The sequence below is a fragment of the Homo sapiens genome, chromosome 9 (genome assembly GCF_000001405.40).
Source record: "Homo sapiens chromosome 9, GRCh38.p14 Primary Assembly".
In the NCBI taxonomy this organism is placed as follows: Eukaryota; Metazoa; Chordata; class Mammalia; order Primates; family Hominidae; genus Homo; species Homo sapiens.
The window spans coordinates 132,860,260-132,878,318 of NC_000009.12; the positions used below are offsets into that span (position 1 = coordinate 132,860,260).

The 18,059-nt window shown below is 51.0% G+C and overlaps 1 protein-coding gene across 13 annotated transcripts in view, besides 2 other annotated features; it reads right to left on the reverse strand.

The window, feature by feature from the left end:
- AK8 (adenylate kinase 8) overlaps window positions 1-18,059 on the reverse strand; it is a 153,469-nt gene that overhangs the window by 134,682 nt on the left and 728 nt on the right. For 3 of the 13 annotated variants that reach the window (XM_005272169.3, XM_047422822.1, XM_011518277.3), the window contains exons 1-4: window positions 17,913-18,025; window positions 14,856-14,976; window positions 6,645-6,694; window positions 3,406-3,519 (exon numbers count right to left, since the gene is read on the reverse strand). In XM_005272169.3, the coding sequence (XP_005272226.1) occupies window positions 3,406-3,519; window positions 6,645-6,694; window positions 14,856-14,976; window positions 17,913-17,996 (369 nt within the window). In that variant the 5' untranslated portion in view covers window positions 17,997-18,025. Of the gene's footprint in view, window positions 1-3,405; window positions 3,520-6,644; window positions 6,695-14,080; window positions 14,181-14,855; window positions 14,977-17,912; window positions 18,026-18,059 lie in introns of those variants that run through there. The other 10 variants (NM_152572.3, XM_047422821.1, NM_001371771.1 and 7 more) reach the window with 7 other exon arrangements.
- Window positions 2,450-3,181: an enhancer, noted in NCBI's record as "H3K27ac-H3K4me1 hESC enhancer chr9:135738096-135738827 (GRCh37/hg19 assembly coordinates)". NCBI's record gives its function as "activates a minimal SCP1, AML or CMV promoter by ChIP-STARR-seq in naive H9 embryonic stem cells {active_cell/tissue: H9 hESC(naive)}" and the evidence as "EXISTENCE:reporter gene assay evidence [ECO:0000049][PMID:30033119]".
- Window positions 13,185-13,294: an enhancer, noted in NCBI's record as "active region_29223". NCBI's record gives its function as "activates an Ori minimal core promoter by ATAC-STARR-seq in GM12878 lymphoblastoid cells {active_cell/tissue: GM12878}" and the evidence as "EXISTENCE:reporter gene assay evidence [ECO:0000049][PMID:35858748]".

An 18,059-nucleotide genomic window follows, 5' to 3' on the forward strand; every position in this document is an offset into this window, starting at 1 on the left:
GAGATTTATAACTCTGGCTGGCCTGGTGGAATCCTCAGTGACACTTCTAGGTGTGATAATGTGTCTCTATGCGTTTACTGAAAAAGGGCCCTTATCTTTGGGTTGCGGAAATAAATGAAGACCTCCCAAATGAGACAAGCCAAGGCTGTTTACTCAGAGCTTGCTGGGCAAGGGAGTCAGCCAGCATCGTTCACATCTGGCGGACTCGAACGCAGGTAGAGGACAGGGAGAGTTCTAGAGGAAAAGGGAAGGCTCCAGGCATGCCTGAAGGAGGCTGCTGCTGGGGAGCTGGAGGTGTCTCTCTAGAGGTGGGCATTCTACAGGACTAGACAGGGGAGCATGTTTGGCTTTCTCTGGCTGGTCTCAGGTTGGAAGCAGGAACAAAAACTAGAGACACTGCCAGTTATTAATCATGCCCTGGCCATTTGGGATAGGTGGCTATAGGGATGACTTAGTTCAGCTTCCTGGACTATTGGAAGAGAGAGCAGCCTGGCTTCCTGCAAGCCTGGCACAGCAGGTGGCTTCCCGGGTGGGCTCTTGCAGGTCATGGGTTGGTCTCCTGGGTGGGCTGCTGCAGATTGTGGGGCAGAGTCTTATGTTTACAGGAGGTCTTGCCATTGTCCACACTGAATATTCAATCTCAGTAGATCTGGACTAAAACACCCATGGGGAAGGTCAAATGCTGTCTGGGTTTGCTTTAAAATAACCCAGGGCAGGGGGAGCAGGTGAGGGTGCAACCCAAGGCTAGACTGCCATGAGCTGACATCTGTCGAAGCAGGGGATGGATCCATGGGGGTTCTCAGACTATCCTCACTGCTTCTAGATATTTTTATGAGATTTCACAACAAACACTTAAAAACAAACAAAAATCCCTGGCCACTGTGAACCCCCAGCATCCTGGGGCACCATCCCCGTGGGCTTTGTGACACTGCCCGATTCCAGACCGTTCCATGCCTTAGAACATTACAGTGTGCCCTTTGGGAAGGCTTTGCTTAGTGTAACTGTGGTTATGGCTCCAGGGGGTCCCTAAATCTTGCAGCCTGTACCCCCTTCCCAGCCCAGAGCCAGTGCCTAGGACTTAGTAGGTGCTCAGGACTAACGTAAATGAATTAGTAAATGAATTGAGTCAAACAAGCCACCGATTAATTGCTTTATTGAAGGTTCCCTGGCTCCCATACCCTGGCTTGTGCTTAGTTTTATGGGACCATCAGTCTCCTCACTGGCTGGAAGCTTCTGGGGTAAGGAGAAGAAACTCATCTTTGACTCTCCCACAGCACTGCAGAATAGTGCTTGGCAAAAAGGCAGTTAGGAAGTATTTCAGAAACCACTGGGAAATGCCTAAGATGGAGATGTCTTGGTTAACAGTGGCAACGTAAGAGAATTCTGCTTAGGAGGGCAAAGCTAAGACTAGCAGGAGAAAATCAGGTATTTGAAGGTATCATTACTACTTGCAAAAAGAGCCATAAAGATTCCAAATCAGCAGACAATTTAAAGAGGACATTTAATGAGAGGCCTTGACTGGCAGGCACTGTCTGCAGACAAGGCCACGCATGGCCGAGCCTGCCATGTGCCCACTCGCTCTTCAGAACATTTTACTCTTTGATGAGGCCTGACATCCAGGCCTTTCATCTTCCCTCCACCAGAGTTTCTGAGCCAAGGACCCCAACAAGACACCCTTGAAAGCACTTCAATGTGGTTTGAAATATGTTGATAATTAGCAAAATGAAACCCAGGAGGAATTTCCTTAAACTCCCTCCTCTCTGTTGAATTTTATAAAGCTAATAAAAACATTTTTATCCTACAAAAAAGCCTTCCCCAAGAAAGCTTATCTTCTGCAGAAAATGAGATAACCACTTTCTTTCTAAAACCATATTCCCAGCCCGAAAGGCTGGTGTCCCCGCAAGCTGAAGCCACACAGTCCAACTCCTGCAAGACTGCAGGGGCGGCTGGGGGACTGACTTGCCGTGGGGGTGGCCGCCTTGCTGAGCCAGGCTTTCCTTCTCTATCAAGCTGCTGTCATAGGCAGACTTGGGGCTGGGGGTCTGTCGAAGTCACACCCCTTTCTCTCTCTTTTTTTTTTTTTGTTAACACAGAGTCTTATTCTGTCGCTCAAGCTGGAGTGCAGTGGTGTGATCTTGACTCACTGCAACCTCAGCCTCCTGGGTTTGAGCAATTCTCCTGCCTCAGTCTCCTGGGTAGCTGGGAATATAGGCACCCACCACCATGCGCACCTAATTTTTTTGTATTTTGGTAGAAATAGGGTTTCACCATGTTGGCCAGGCTGGTCTCGAACTCCTGACTTCAAGTGATCTGCCCACCTTGGCCTCCCAAAGGGCTGGGATCATAGGCGTGAGTCATTGCACCCAGCCCATCCATACCTCTCATCTGTGAGAACTGCCATCCCCCACCAACCAGGAGTCTTCATAGCCACATCTGAGCTCTGTGGCCTCACTGAGCCCTCACTGCACACCCCTCAACAGAGCTGACTGTGCCTGACACGTGACTAGCTAGCCCGGGCAGATCCCCCTTCCTGAGGATTTGGCTTTGAAGCTGCCTTTGTGGGTGGTCTGAACCGAGAACACAGGAGACAAGAATGGAGTGGTGGTCACGAGTGGCTGGGAGCATGGCAAGAAAGACAGAAGAGAGGAGGAAGAGTCCCTGCCTCAGCCTCCCAAGTTGCAGGGACTACAGGCACGTGCCACCATGCCCAGCCAGAAGGAATTTTGAAGAAATATTTTGAGTTTCTATTTGTATTAAAGAGAAATAATGTGATCAAGCCTTATATTTCCCTTTAGAAGATGTTTTTCAAATATCGAGCTGTTGGTCTTTTAGAAACAACACCCACACCTCCTGCAATGCTCCCCAGCGTGTGTGGGAGGGACAGGGGGAATGGGCACTGCCCGGACCAGAGGGTGGGCTGTGCAGCAGGGTGCCCAAGGCTATGGGAGGGAGACGCCTCTAAGGTACAGAACATGGGGGCTTTCCACTCTGGGGACAGCTGGACAGCTGCCCTTTCAACTGCTGGCGCAGCCCAACCCTGCATCTCCTGGCGCGGGCCGCCAGGTTCAGCACTTGCCTCCATGCCTTTACTCGGCTGAGCCTAAGAAGAAAAAGAGCAAGCCTGGACCATCCCACCAAGGGCTTGGACAAAACAGCCTCCTTCACTCGACCCGTGATCCTTTCCCACTGCAAAAACTCACCTCGGTACCCAACAGGACGTGAGCCCAGTAAAGAATTATCTTCTTCCTTCCTTCACACCCTGCCTGTATCTCATTTTACCCCAGCATTTTCTTGTACTCAATCAAAAATGAAATGGGAACAAACCAAGCAATGGTCAGGTGGCAGTGGGTGTGGCAGTGGGCACTGCTGCTGTGTGCCTACCCCTGTCCCCGGGGCCAGTCCTACCTTCCTTTGCAGATAAAGCCTTCTGGCTTCGGTGGCCGTATAGGAAAACTCATTTAAGATCAGGTTCTCCAGGGTGAGGAGACTGCTGTTCAGATGTTTGCAGAGCCACATTGCCTGAAGAAAGGAAAGAAGAAAAGGGCATTTTCATAAAAACAATAAATACACAAATGACTCTATTAAAATGCCCTGGTCCTTCCCTCTCCTATGGGAAAAGGTTGGCCATGGGGAAGCACAATTATTTCCAGCTGGAGGACGGCCACCAAGGGAGACCCACCCATAAAGCACCTGCTGGCCTAAGAGCCCTGCTCATAGCATCTCTTCTTCTACCAGCATAGACTTAAATGAAGTGGGAAGACCTACAGGCAGGTTACATTTTAGCTGCCCTTGGCGTGCTTTCCAAGCTCTGTGGACCATGAGTTTCATCTCAAGGAAGACTCAGAACAGGAACTTTGAGGACAGAACCTAAGGATGGGTAACAGCCCACACTCAGTGTTCTTTTTTTTTTCTTAAAGATTGGGAGCTGGCATGTGCTGGCCAATGGGATGTTTAGTTCATTGATAATTACTCTATAGTCTATAAGGGAAGAGTAAATTTTAAGGGAGAATAATGGACTAAAACATTCTTGACACCAAAATTGTGCTGATGACTATTTCAGCCTCGAGATGGTTCTGAAGGCCCTTCCAGGGCCTGGGGCTGGTGTGAACCTTCGTTCTTCCTGTTCCTTCATTCATCCCCTGCCAACCAGGAGTCTTCATGGCCACATCTGAGCTCTGTGGCCTCACTGAGCCCTCACTGCACACCCCTCAACAGAGCTGACTGTGCCTGGGACACCTGACCAGCTAGCCCAGGCAGATCCCCTTTTCTGAGGATTTGGCTTTGAAGCTGCCTTTGTGGGTGGTGAGAAACCTCAATGACAGCATTGGGAAGAAGCCCTTTTTGACTGTACATCATATCATCAGATCTGTGTGTCTCCAAAGGGCACTCAGGAGTGGGGACAGCAATTCACCAAAAGGCTTGTTGCTGAAACACCAGCTGCCAGGGCCTGACCTCGACAGAGAGGACAAACTCGATCGCTTCAGCCATGCTGGGACTTGCCGAAAGCAGGTCTCTGCGTTCTGAATCTGCTCTGCCCAGCAGATTCCTACCAGTGACCAGAGAAGAGCTAGGACAGGACGAAGCACAGATGGCCCCAGAATTCAAATGTCAAAGACAAAAGGAGAGCCTCCCACTGAGCAACCAGACTCCTCCAGAAAAACGAGTTCAACGAGCTTGTCTGTCTAAATGCAGGATCTGTCATCCTCATTCCCAATGTCAGAATTACCTGGGGAGTGTGTTCTAACTACTAGTTTTTTGGGGCTCTGCTCCAGGAGATTCTGATGAGGTTGGTCTGCAGGGGACTCCAGGAACCTGCATTTTTCATAGCACCCTGGAAATGCTAATGATCAGCAGGTCTGGGAGTCCCTGGCTTCTAATTGTGAAACAGCAAAATGGTTGGACTCAGGTGGGTCCTGCAGAAAGGCTTAGAACCCTACGGCCTGATATGGAGGAATCTAATAGAAAAACTATAGACTGACAGAAGGGTGAGCAGATGGACAGATGAGTAGAACAGCTATGCTAACTCCAAAAGTATAGCAGATGCAGGTTAGTTTGTGCAAGGATCAGTCATTTTAACTCCTTTTCAGAAGAAAGCAAGGTGCCAGTTAAACCGGGGAACAGCCTGCCCCATCCCGTCCATGATACATGCTCACAGCAATGATGTGGTCACAGAGGAAGGGTTCGCTGATGTTCACCAATCAGGCTTTTAAAAGGTAAAAAAGGTCCCATCTTGGATGAATGAAATTTTAACACATTTTTGGCACTTAAAAATGGACCTTAGGCCGGGCACGGTGGCTCACGCCTGTAATCCCAGCACTTTGGGAGGCCGAGGATCATGAGGTCAAGAGATCAAGACCATCCTGGCCAACATGGTGAAACCCCGTTTCTACTAAAAATACAAAAATTAGCTGGGCATGGTGGCGTACGCCTGTAGTCCCAGCTTCTCGGGAGGCTGAGGCAGAAGAATTGCTTGAACCCAGGAGGCGGAGGTCGCAGTGAGCCGAGATCGCACCACTGCACTCCAACCTAGCAACAGAGGGAGACTCTGTCTCAAAAAATAAAAATAAAAATAAAAAATAAAAAATAAAGGTAAAAAGGGTTCCATCTCAGATGAATGAAATTTTAACACATTTTTGGTACTTAAAAATGGACCTTAGGCTGGGCGTGGTGGCTCACGTCTGTAATCCCAGCTCTTTGGGAGGCTGAGGTAGGCGGATCACCTGAGGTCAGGAGTCCAATACCAGCCTGGACGACATGGTGAAGCCCCATCTCTACTAAAAATACATAAATTAGCCGCGCATGGTGGTGCATGCCTGTAGTCCCAGCTACTCGGGAGGCTGAGGCATGAGAATCGCTTGAACCTAGGAGGCAGAGGTTGCAGTGAGCCCAGATCGCACCACTGCATTCCAGCCTGTGTGACACAGTGATACTCTGTCTGAAAAAACAAAAAAGGACCTTAAAGATCGAAGCCACAGATAAATGAAGCACACACCACCAGTTTCTGGACATTCACTGTCCAGAAAAGGGCATTCACTGTCCAGAAACTGGTGATGTGTGAAAAAGTGTGGGCGAGGTGGGCCCAGGCATTTGCTGTATCTTCAAAGATGTATTTTCTTTAAAATGAGGAGAGAACAAACAAAGCAAATATGGCAAGATGTTAAATTTGCATAAAATCTGGGAGTTGGATACGTGAATATCGATGGTACAGTTTGCTGTGCTTTTCTGATTCTTTTAAGTATTTCACAATTAAAATGCTCAGAGTAAATATTAAGATTCCAAGTCAAAGTCTATGAAATGCGTGTACTGTTGGACCCAGCACGTGTACTTCTGGAAACGTACCCTAAGGATATAGCGAAGGGTGAGCAAGGAGAGCGTGTATGCAGGCCAGAAAAAGCCCAGGAAGGTGTCTCCGAGCATGCTAAAGGAATGCTCATCTCTGGATGGTCAGGGAATTCTATTTTTGGTCTTTTGTAGTTTCTAGGTTTTCTGCTATGAATACACACTACCTTTTGTAATAAGAAGGAGGAGAAGGAAAAGAAGAAAAGCTCAGTTATGCTACAAATTCACGGAGGTGCAGTCTCATTCCAGCTCTGGAGGATCAATGAGATATTACAGCATCACAACACTTAATATGATACACTTACTATTGTTGTTTTCCCTGAGGCGGGTGGACCTAATATTACAATCCTGGGCACTGTGGAATAAAAAGATTTGAATGTCACCACTCAACATGACAAGCAGCCTCCCACACCTGCGGTACTCGGGGTGTACTTATTTCTCCCTCCCTAGATTTCATTTTCTGCCAGTGACACGGCCATTTGTAACCCAGCAGCTCAGAGACACTCTTGCCATGGAACGCATTCTCTGTGTTCAGAGAGGTAAGTGATCACCGAGATGGTTTATTCTTCTGCCTCCAAGGGGACAGAGACACGGTAACTTGTTTACCAAACTCATAAATATCAAGAACAATTGGGATTTCAAACACCACAAAGCATTTTAAACAGGGACTTTGTCTCAGGAACGCTCTCTCCAATAAGGCTGTAATTTATGCAAATCGACCTTAGAAGCTTTTCTTTATGTTTATGCCGTTTTATTTAGCAAATTGTATTCCCCATGATTTTACAGAGGGAAGTAATGGGAAAAGCCTGGAGTGTATGGGCCAGATTTATAAAACCCAAGAAAGGAAAGTCTGTTTTCAAAGATGGGCATTTCTATGCAAATGGAAAACACTGGCACCTTGTTTGATTTTAGTCCTGGCTGGTTTTGGTCCCACAGAATTCCCAACCCAGGCTACTGACAAGAGTGTGATATGAACCACAGGCTCCTGAACCTGTGACCGAGAGTCTGGGCTCACCCGGCAGGTGAAGCTCTGGTGGCAGGCCCAGGCCCTGGCCATCGTGGAAGCTGGGAAGGCATTTTCAGCTTCTGGGGTGGGAGCCAGGGCAGAGATTCAGTGGCCCTTTCTCTGTTCTAGGCCTGTAACCTGGGGCAAGGCCTCCCAGGGCCCTCCCTGTGGGGAGAGAACCCACTGCAGGTGGAAAAACTGCTTGCAGGACAACTCTGGAAACAAGGTGGCTTTGGGGACAAGTGGTCAGGTGAGAGGAAGAGGTGAGACAGAGCTAGAGTGGCTGCTGGCGATGGGAAAAGAGCTGACCAGCATGGTGAGAAGGGTGCAGGAAGGCATCACACTGGGTTGAAATGAAGGGAACAGCAGTGGGGTCTGGACAGATGCATCCACACTGCCTGCCTGCTCAACACCATCTTGATTGGGCCAGCTGTCCCTCTCCTTGTGGGAAGCCGGTAACCTTGGCCTGGCCCCTGACCCAAGGTGACAGATGAACAGATGTCCACTGCAACTCACATGAGCCTCTAACGTCTGCATGAGAGCCTATTCTGGCTGGGCTTTCAGGAGGGAATCTCATCTCAGCAGAGGAGAGAGGTGCTGTATCTTCTAGTTTGGAGGCAGACAGAGAAAAGGAACTAGACATCGTCCTTTTGGCCAGCAATGTAATGGTTAGCACATCTACACCCAGCTGGCTGCTTGGGTTTAAATAGATCTTTGCCCAAAATCATGGCACCTTCTCATTTTTGGAGGAAGTCAAGGTAACTCACTGAATGATCCTCTCCTTTAACCTCAGAAGCTGTGGACCTTCATATTCTCCTTATGGCTGTTCCCTCCACGTTCCTGCCTTGCCACCTGTCATTTCCCATCAGGAATGTCCTCCCTTCCCAGCACCCAGCACCCCCAGCCTCCCACTCCTTCTCCCTCCCCGAGATCCTTGTTCTCACTCCCTGTGGAGGCCCGTGATCAAGTGATGGGCTGCCACAGTCTTCCACGTTGGTGAATGTCAGCCCACTACTGAGAAACAGGTGGAGTTGCTGTCCCCACAGGAAGAGAAGCTCCCAAGGGCAGAGACCGAGTCTTATCCTCCTGGATCACCCCCATGGCGGCCAGAACTGTGAGGAGCCACACACAGTGACCTTCAGGGCCACCTCCTTGGCCATCCCCATCTCGTCCTATGGTCACTGTTTGTCACCTTTGTCACCACCATTACTACTGCCTTACAGAGGGCCCCCTCTGCCAGTCAGCATGTTTGGGTACAAGTGCAGAAACTGAATGCAGCTGAGTCAAGAAGAAAAGGGGGTTGATTGCTCACACCTGTAATCCCAGCACTTTGGGAGGCCGAGATGGGCGGATCACTTGAGGTCAGGAGTTCGAGACCAGCCTGGCCAACATGGTGAAACCCCATCTCTACTGAAAATACAAAAAATTAGACAGGCGTGGTGGCACACAACTGTAATCCCAGCTACTCGGGAGGCTGACACAGGAGAATCACTTGAACCTGGGAGGTGGAGGTTGCAGTGAGCTGAGACTGCGCCACTGCACTCTAGCCTGGGCAACAGAGCAAGACTTCGTCTCAAAATATCTATATCTATATCTATGTCTATTTATCTATCTATCTATCTATCCCAGCGTGGCTCATAAGAGTCCTGCACAGGCTGGGGAGCCAGGCCTTCAGGGCTACCCCACAGGAACAACACCCCAAGCAAGGCCACCAAATGGGCTGGGGAGACACCAGACAGTGCTGCCCGTGCCCATGATGCTGCTGTCACATGTGGGCATGGTGCCGCCATCAACCATGCTGCCGCCATCAACCATGCTGCCCTTCCACCCAGGAAGCAGGCCCTGCGGAGCTGCCAGGAAGTGCTCCAGGTCCTGCCTGTGACTCCGACTCTGGACTCGCCTGGCAGGGGAAGCGCTGGTGGTGGGCCCAGCCCTGACTGTCATGGAAGCTAGGAAGGTGTTTTCAGCTTCTGGGGTGGGAGCCAGGGCGGGCATTCAGCGGCCCTTTCTCTGTTCTAGGCCTGTGGCCTGGGGCAAGGCCTCCCAGGGCCCTCCCCATGGGTGAGAGAAGCCACCATAGGATATAGTGTGGAAAACACTGCTTGCAGGACAAGTATGGAAACCAGGTGGCATTGAGGACACATGGTCAGGTGAGAGGACGAGGTGAGATGGGAGCCAGAGTGCCATGGGAGGTTTGTGGGGAGGAGTGGCAGGGAGGGTGGTCAAGGGTGGAGGAGCCTTGGGCCACGAGGCAGAGGGCTCGTGTGGATCATGGAGAGAGCGCCTGCTTGGCCAAAGTCTGATGAGGGAGCAGTGGGGAACCTGGGTCCACTCATGCACCATCGCCTGCTGCCTCTCCAGGGCTCTGACCACAGGCCCTGCTGAAGCTCCTCCAAACACAGATGAGGCCCAACAGGGCTCAGGGCGCCCAGAGCCCAAGGAAAGGGGAGATGCAGCTCGGCAAGGGCCTTTGGGGAGCGAACCTGACTCCACGCATTCATCTGAGAGTTCCCGGGCTGGGGGCTGCAGGGGAAACCCTCCCCTTCCAGGTTCCTGTAAGTGGCACCCAAATGGTACATGTCTATGAATAGACTTTAAAAGGGGAACATCCACGGCCTTTCTCCCCACCTAATTTCTCCCACACATTTATGTGATTAATTTCATTTTCTTAAAATCTAACACCTTGAAACTACAGCCCTGCTCATGAGTAATTATTTATAAACAGTGTCATAAAAGGCTGCTGGACTGCCAAGAGTAATCAACTTCTTCCAACCACTTCAAAGGAAATCAAAAAACCTTTCCATCCACAGATCCTTTTGAGGTTTAACTAGGAGCATGATTTAAAATTCACAAGAAAACCCTTAGGTATTGGAGCTCTAATACACAGCTTTCTTGGACAAACGTTTGATAAAAAACGAAACATACCATTATATACACCATCGCCTGCTTTAATATTGCCCAGGGCTACTGTAAATGCTCACTTTGTACTAAATCTGCCTTTCTGGCGGCGAAGGGGCTGCCAGCCCAAGTGCCGGGGCTCCCTCTGCTCCCTCGTGTGCTCGCTCACCGGGATGAGTCCGGGGCCTTCTTTCTCTCTACACCAGTCACCAGCCATGTCACTGTGTGTGGCAGTTAACCCCAGGCCCAGTAAGAGGAAGGGTTGAGGTCCTAGCTATAGTTACCCCAGGCCGCTGCATGGCTGGAAGGGGGCACAATGATCTGACACACCAGCCCAGGGGAACAAAAACACACACTGGATGTCATGGGCCTCTCCAAGCCTCCCGCACTCTTCTAGGACACATGAGGATTGGGCTTAGCTGATTCGAGGCTTCTCCCACTCCTAGAAAATTCACCTAGGCGGCCGGGTATGGTGGCTCATGCCTGTAATCCCAGCACTTTGGGAGGCCGAGGCGGGTGGATCATCTGAGGTCAGGTGTTTGAGACCAGCCTGGCCAACATGGTGAAACCCCGTCTCTACTAAAAATACAAAAGTTAGCTGGGCATGGTGGCGGGTGCCTGTAATCCAAGCTAGTCAGGAGGCTGAGGCAGGAGAATCACTTGAACCTGGGAGGCGGAGCTTGCAGTGAGCTGAGATTGCGCCATTGCACTCCAGCCTAGGCGACAGAGCCAGACTCCATCTCAAAACAAAAAGAAAAACAAAAAAACAGAAAAAGAAAAGAAAAGTCACCAAGCAGGGTAGTCTCCCCTGTCTCCCTTCCTCCTTCCCATTTTTGCTTCACTTGTCCACAGAGGCGTGGGCAAAGAGAGAGAAACCCATGGGTGTCGCTCTCTTCTTTCCATTTCAGTGGTTGGGGCTTGAGCCAAAGGACAAAATGTTCTAATATCCATAAAAGCTGCCAGCTGAGGGCCTGCGGTGGAGTGCAGGGCTGTGGGAAACAAATGAACTCTCCAAAACAGTGGTTCCTGGGACCCAGTGACTCGACTCCCTGAGAGCATCCGGGCAAAAAGCTGGACTCAGCTATTCAGGAGGACAGACCCCCCCGGCTGGAGGCTGGCCCCCAGCTAGAGACGGCACGAGGCAGGTCTGGAGCCTAAGCCTCTGCTCGAGAACAACAGAGCAGGTGCAGTGCAGAGAAAGGAGCAAGGGCTCCTTGGAGGGAGCTTCAGGAAAGCCCCAGACCTTCGGATGAAGGGAAAGGGGCGCTAAGGAGGGTGGGAGGAGGAGACAAAGGCAGGGAGGTGGCAGCGGAGGTGGCTGTCCAGCCAACATCAACTGCACTCCATCCAAACCAGAAAGATGATGTTTAAACTTTAAAATTCTGATGAAGTGGATAGTTTGACATTGAAAATTAAAGCTGCACACAGAGGAGCAAGATCAAAACAAAGAGATGATTGAATCTGCCTCAAATTTCTTGAAATTCAAGGTTCTTGAGCTTCTAGGCTGGGGAACTAGGTAAGCCTTGAAGTAGCGGTTTAAGAACACAGAGGGCCAGGCACAGTGGTCCATGCCTGTAATCTCAATGCTTTGGGAGGCCAAGGCAAGAGGATCACTTGAGCCTAGGAGCAGGGACCAGCCTGGGCAACATAGTGAAACCCCATCTCTACAAAAAATTTTTAAAAATTAGCCAGGCGCAGTAGCATGCACCTGTAGTCCCAACTACTCAGGAGGCTGAGGCAGGAGGATCACTTGAGCCTAGGAGGTCAAGCCTGTAATGGGCTGTAATCTCCCCACTGCACTCCAGCCTGAGCAACAGAGACCCTGTCTCTAAAAAGAAAAATAAGAGGGAGAAAATAAAAAAAAGAGAAGAACACAGGGCATGCATGATTTTCAAACTAACAGTAGAAAATGTCAGTGCAACCTAATTTATGAGAGTTCAAGTGGTTACATTATTATCGAGCACATTTTTTTTTAGATAGAGTCTTACTATGTTGCCCAAGCTGGAATGCAGTGGGTATTCAAGATGAAGTCGTGGCACCATGGCCTCTCACTCCTGGCCTCAAGCGATCCTCCTGTCTCAGCCTCCCAAGTAGCTGGAGCTACAGGTGCACCACCACACCCAGCTTTCAAGCACATTTTTTTTTTTTTGAGATAGGGTCTTACTCTGTTGCCCAGGCTGGAGTGCAGTGGTGCGATCTCAGCTCACTGCAACCTCCACCCCCTGGGTTCAAGCGATTCTCCTGCCTCAGCCTCCTGAGTAGCTTGGATTACAGGTGTGTGCTGCCAAGCCTGGTTAATTTTTGTATTTTTGTTTTGTTTTGTTTTAGAGACAGAGTCTCGCTCTTTCGCCCAGGCTGCAGTGCAGTGGCGTGATCTCTACTCATTGCAAGCTCCGCCTCCTGGGTTCACACCATTCTCCCGCCTCAGCCTCCCCAGTAGCTGGGACTACAGGCGCCCGCCACCACGCCCAGCTAATTTTTTTTTTATTTTTAGTAGAGATGGGATTTCACCATGTTAGCCAGGATGTTCTCGATCTCCTGACCTCATGATCCGCCCACCTCGGCCTCCCAAAGTGCTGGGATTACAGGCGTGAGCCACCGCACCCAGCCAATTTTCGTATTTTTAGTAGAGATGGGGTTTTGCCATATTGGCCAGGCTGGCAAGCACAATTTTTAATTTAGAAAAATCTATTAAGCTTTTTACTAGTGGAAACTAGACGTCATATTCCTGGAAGCTGCTACCCATGATGCATCAGGGATTTCCCATTCCTTCAGCCACTACTGACCAGACCAGAGTTTCACAGCTTCTATCTGGGTTAACCAAACACATCCATTTCACAAACGAGGAAAGTGAGGCCAAAGAGAGCCACGATCTCTCACGTCTCTACATTTTAAGATGAGTGAGCTGCAGGGTCCCTGACAGTGGGGAGGGAGGTGGGGGGGTGGCAGGACAGAGGACTGTGCTGCACTGCACTTTCCACTCGCTCTTGGTTGACTTTTAGTCTTACTTTGTTTTTACTTTACTTTTACTCTACTTTTACTTTAGCTTTTACTTGGCTCTTATTTCACTTTTACTTTGTGTTTCCTTTTGCTTTGCTTTCCCTTTGCGGTCCATTCTTTCTCTGGTGGCGGTGTGAGATAGCTGCGTGTGGGCAGAGATGCTCTCCGCAGCCCTGGAATAACAGAGTTCAGCAGCACTCAAGCTCCCAGCACCCACTCGGCCTCAGGGTGGGGGCAGGGGGGAATGCAGGAACTACCTCCACTGGCAAATGGAGTCAGTGAGGCCTGGGGGCGAGCCTAGGTCTGCAGCAGTAAGGACCACTCAGGAGCGCAGGGTAGGCTTAACATCCACCCTAAGAGCAGGTGATGAATCTGGGGAGACAAAACCTCCCACCTGTACCATGTAATAAACAGCCAACCAGAGAAAGGAGGTCTCTAAGAGTCGCTGCAGGGCAGAGTAAACTGCACCAGGAAGGTGGGTTTGGGGAGAAGGCAAATCAGACACGGGGAAGGGGGTCCCAAGGCCACCCCAGCACCGCACCACCCCCGCCTGGGCATATAGGACGCTCAGTCAACATCCGCTGAACAAGGGAATGTCTAGTGAATCAGCCATTTGCACCTAACCAGAGGCTCAGAAAAGGGCCTTTTTGTTGGCCCTTTGTGGGGTCTCTCTCTGTACCTGCCTGCCTAGGTCCATGCAATGGCATCGGGACCCAAGATTCCCTTACTCTGCTGCTCCGCAGCCAGGCCTGGATGCGTCAGGACTTGCATGTGGGGCACAAGGAAAAGGCTTGGAACCTCCTTTCTTTTTTTTAACTACCTAGTGTCATTTCTCACCTTGGGCCTTCTGAACCTCCACACAGGGCATCTCTGGGCTCTGTCCTCAGCTGTACCAAGCACTAATTTCACTGGTGCACTGGTAGCTCCTTCAAAGCAGCTAATGCTCCAACGAAAGAAACATAAAAGCTCCAAGACATCGGTCCTCCCCAACAGCTCACAAAGGACAGGACTGATCCTCCACTTGGCAAATGGACCATGGAGTGGAGTGAGGGGCCTTCCTTGAGTGAGCGCCTCCCTCCTCCCCAGTTCTGTGCTCCGGCCTTGGGTCAGGCTGACCTGCACCGGCCAACTGCAAAGGTTTGGGGAGCTCGGAAACTCATTAACAGGCTCCGATAATGAGACCGTCGGAAAAGCCCAAGAGCTTGCCTGTCTAGGTAGACCAGAAACCAAACTTACACCTGACAAGTGGAGTGATCAGAGAGCTGAAACCCAACAGGCGACATCAGCTAGGGCAGGCGAAAGCATTAATAATTGATTCCATGGGTCATTCTGGGGTTTTCATTTTAATAACTTGGCAAGAGAATTTTTATAAGTTGTGCTCCAAAAGAAATCAAGGCATTTTTCAATGAACCACCACCTCAAGTTGATGAAACCCCTCCCTTCTGACCTCCCTTCAGACACAGGTAGGACAGAATGGTGCTCAGCTATTCTCGGGATGGGGCAGGGTTCCTGGAGAGGAAGAGGAGGAGGAGGCAGAGGAGTCAGGGAAGAAGGGGAAGGAGGAGGAGGGGAAGGGAAGACGAGGAGGGGAAGAGCCCCAGCCAGTGCTCACCATTGTCGTTGTCTCTATGCAAGTGCTGGATCATGAAGGGGATGGGATCTTCGGGCTGGTGGATCAGGAGTTGCTCCAGCATGTTCTGTGGGTGCAGGGCAGACACCCAGGTGGTTAATACCTGCAAGGGCACCTGGTCACCACAGATACCAGCTATGGGGCCTGCTCTCTCCACTGCACCCCACCAAACATGCCTTCAACCTGGGACCCAGCCACCGCCCCAGCTGGCATCTGCTTGGGTCCCCATGAGCAGAGGCATGAGGGGGGCCACGTGGTGCTGCTGCGGAGGCACCTATGGGGAGGCAGAAGTGGAGGAGTCTCGCCCCTGATTCAGAGCAGGCAGTCCAGGGCTCTCTCCCCTGGGGCCCTTTGAGCTTCCCAGACCAGCCTTCTCCAAGTTCTCAAGCATCACCATTCCCCTCAGAGCCTTAGCAGATGCTGTTCCCTCAGCTTGGAAGCTTCTGCCTTGTCCTCATCCTGGCTAACTTCTGCTCAGTCTCAGATCTCAATGGGAACATACCTTCCTGAGTATGTGCACTACGTAAATATGTCAGATGCTCCTGCACCTGCCTGCGGGCATCGCCCTGTTCCACGCCTCACCCTGTCCCTACTCACCAGGCCACCATCCCCCCGGCAGGCCATGGGTTCTGTGGGCCTCCTTGTCTGCCTAGAGCCCTTGGCACCCCAATACCTGGCAGTCATAGCAGATGCCCAGCGCAGATGTTTGCTGGGGAACATGACCGTCACCACTAACTGTGTCTCTCCAGAATGGAACAGAATGTTACCAGCCAGATTTCTAAATAGTCCTGGGATATTCTGGCCATTTCATCCAATCAGGCAAGCATATCAAGAGAAAGCAGCTTCTGGGGTTGCAGAACCCTAGGCAGAGAAATGAGGAGGAGCTCATAGCAGCTGTGCTGCTGCAATAAGGGGTATCCTTGAGCCCCAGGGACAAGGAGGGAGGGGCTGTAGCCCTCTTGGAGTGAAGGGAGTGTGGGGCAGGGAAAGAGCACCGAGCCATGAGAAGTCTTGGTTCCAGCCCCACTGTATCTCATCAGCAAGTCCCTTCCCTTCTCTGGGCCTCAGCTTCTCTGCCTGTTCAGTAGCACAGCTGGAGTGAATTCATGTTTGTATGTCACTGGTGCGATGATGGAATGAGATGATTTTAGATGGTTCACACATAAATATTTTACATTTCATGTTTAAATCATTGTGTATTTAACGTGTATTAGAAATATAAGTACATCAAATCAATAATTTCAAGGATATCACTTAGGATGAGGCAAAAGCGGCTATTTAATTTTTTAAAAGGTGAGTTGATTTAAACAAGTGATTAGTTTAAATGGAGGTGCAGTAGCGGTTATGCAAATCTGTACATGTGATACAACTGCACAGAACTGTATGCACAACAAAAACATCAATGCAGGTAAAAATGGAGGAAATCCAAACAAGGCCTACAGTTCAGGTAATCCTATTGTACCAATGCCAGTTTCCTGGTTTTGACAATGTGCTACAGTTATGTTAGATGTTATCACGGGGGCAATGTGGGAGGGGAGACCAGAAATCCATACTATTTTTTAACTTCCTGTGAATCTAACATTATTTTAAAATCAAAAGTATAAAAAATGGAAATGGTCAAAAACATGGAGGGAATCCACAGATGACTAAGGACTGGAAATACTGGACTGAAAGCTTTCTTGTTGGGAGGCCGAGGCAGAAGGACTGTTTGAGCCCAGGAGTTCAAGACCAGTCCGGGCAACATAGCAAGACCTCGTCTGTACTAAAATTAAAAAAAAAACATTAGCCAGGTATGGTGGCCTGCACCTGTAGTCTCGGCTACTCTGGAGGGACTAAGGCAGAAGGATTGCTTGAGCCCAGGAGTTCAAGGCTGCAGTAAGCCATGATTGTATCACTGCACTCCAGCCTGGGCAGCAGTGCAAGACCCTGTTTCAAAATCAATAAAAGCTTTCCTGGGCAATTCCTCCAACAATCAATGTGGAAAACACACCAGGTTCTCTAGAGCAGACAACAGGGCTCCAGATGATCCCCCATCCTGCCCTGACCTGCTGACTTCTAACCCAGCTAGCTATTTGATTTGTGATTGGCCACTCAAGCAGTTTTAGGAATCTCTTGCTCTCCCTCTATCAGTTAACACTTTCCGAGGGAAATGTGTTTGATGGAGGTGCAGACACGGGTTTCTTCGTCTGGGCTCAGCTGTCTAGTGTGCAGGGCAGAACCTCAAATGACCACAGACACCACTATGCCCTCCATGCCATGCCCCTGGGGATGGGGTGTACCCTGGGAAGCAGACAAATGATCTGAAAACTGAGCTCCAGCTTCCCCTTGCCTCTCAGAACCTTTGAGTGGCTGAGAGTTCTTCCCCTCCAGCTCCTGAAAGCCTTGACCTCCACCACGTGCAAAAGGGAAAACTGGGGCCCTGGCGGGGACGGGGCCTCGCCCAAAGTCACACGGTGAGCTGGGGGCCCAGTCAGGCCTGGAGCCAGAATGAGAGCTTCGGAGCTGCCGGGGACGTCTGGCCCTGAGGAGGAGGGACCAAGGTGGGAGATGCTGCTGTCCCAGAGGCGGCCCTCTCTGAGGATGGAGATGCCAGCTTGAACTCGGACAATGCCCACCTCAGAAACCTGGGCCGAGAGGCTCCCCACAAATTCGACAGATGGTAATTGTCAGCGCCGGGAGAGCCCCTGGGAGACCACCTCTTGCAACCTGGCATTTCACAGGTGGGGAAACCGAGAAAAGGAAAGGACTGGTTCCAGACCATAAGGCCCGCTGGCGGCACAGCCAGGACCAAATCCCGGCTCGAGTGGCCCCCTTCCTCCCCCTGGGTCCGCCTGAGGCAAACCCGGGCAGGACCAGGAGCGTCCCCAGCTCGAGGGCCCCCTCGGGGTCACGGCGACACACGAATCGTACATCCCGAGTTGGGCTGCTTCGTGGGCGCGCGACTCGGCCCCAGCTGCGGGTCCCGGCCGCGCACCCGACGTCGCAGTGGAGGCTCCCGAGCCGCCGCCAGCGTCGCGACGGGCAGGGGTGTCCGGTCACCTGCATCAACTCGAAGATGTGGTTCTCCTCCCCGTACTGGGGCATCTCGGGGGGGATACGGTGCGGGGCGATAGTGGCGTCCATGTAGCCGTCTCGGCTCGCCGCTCCCTAGTAACCGCGTCGCTAGGGCCGCCGCGCCGACTGCGT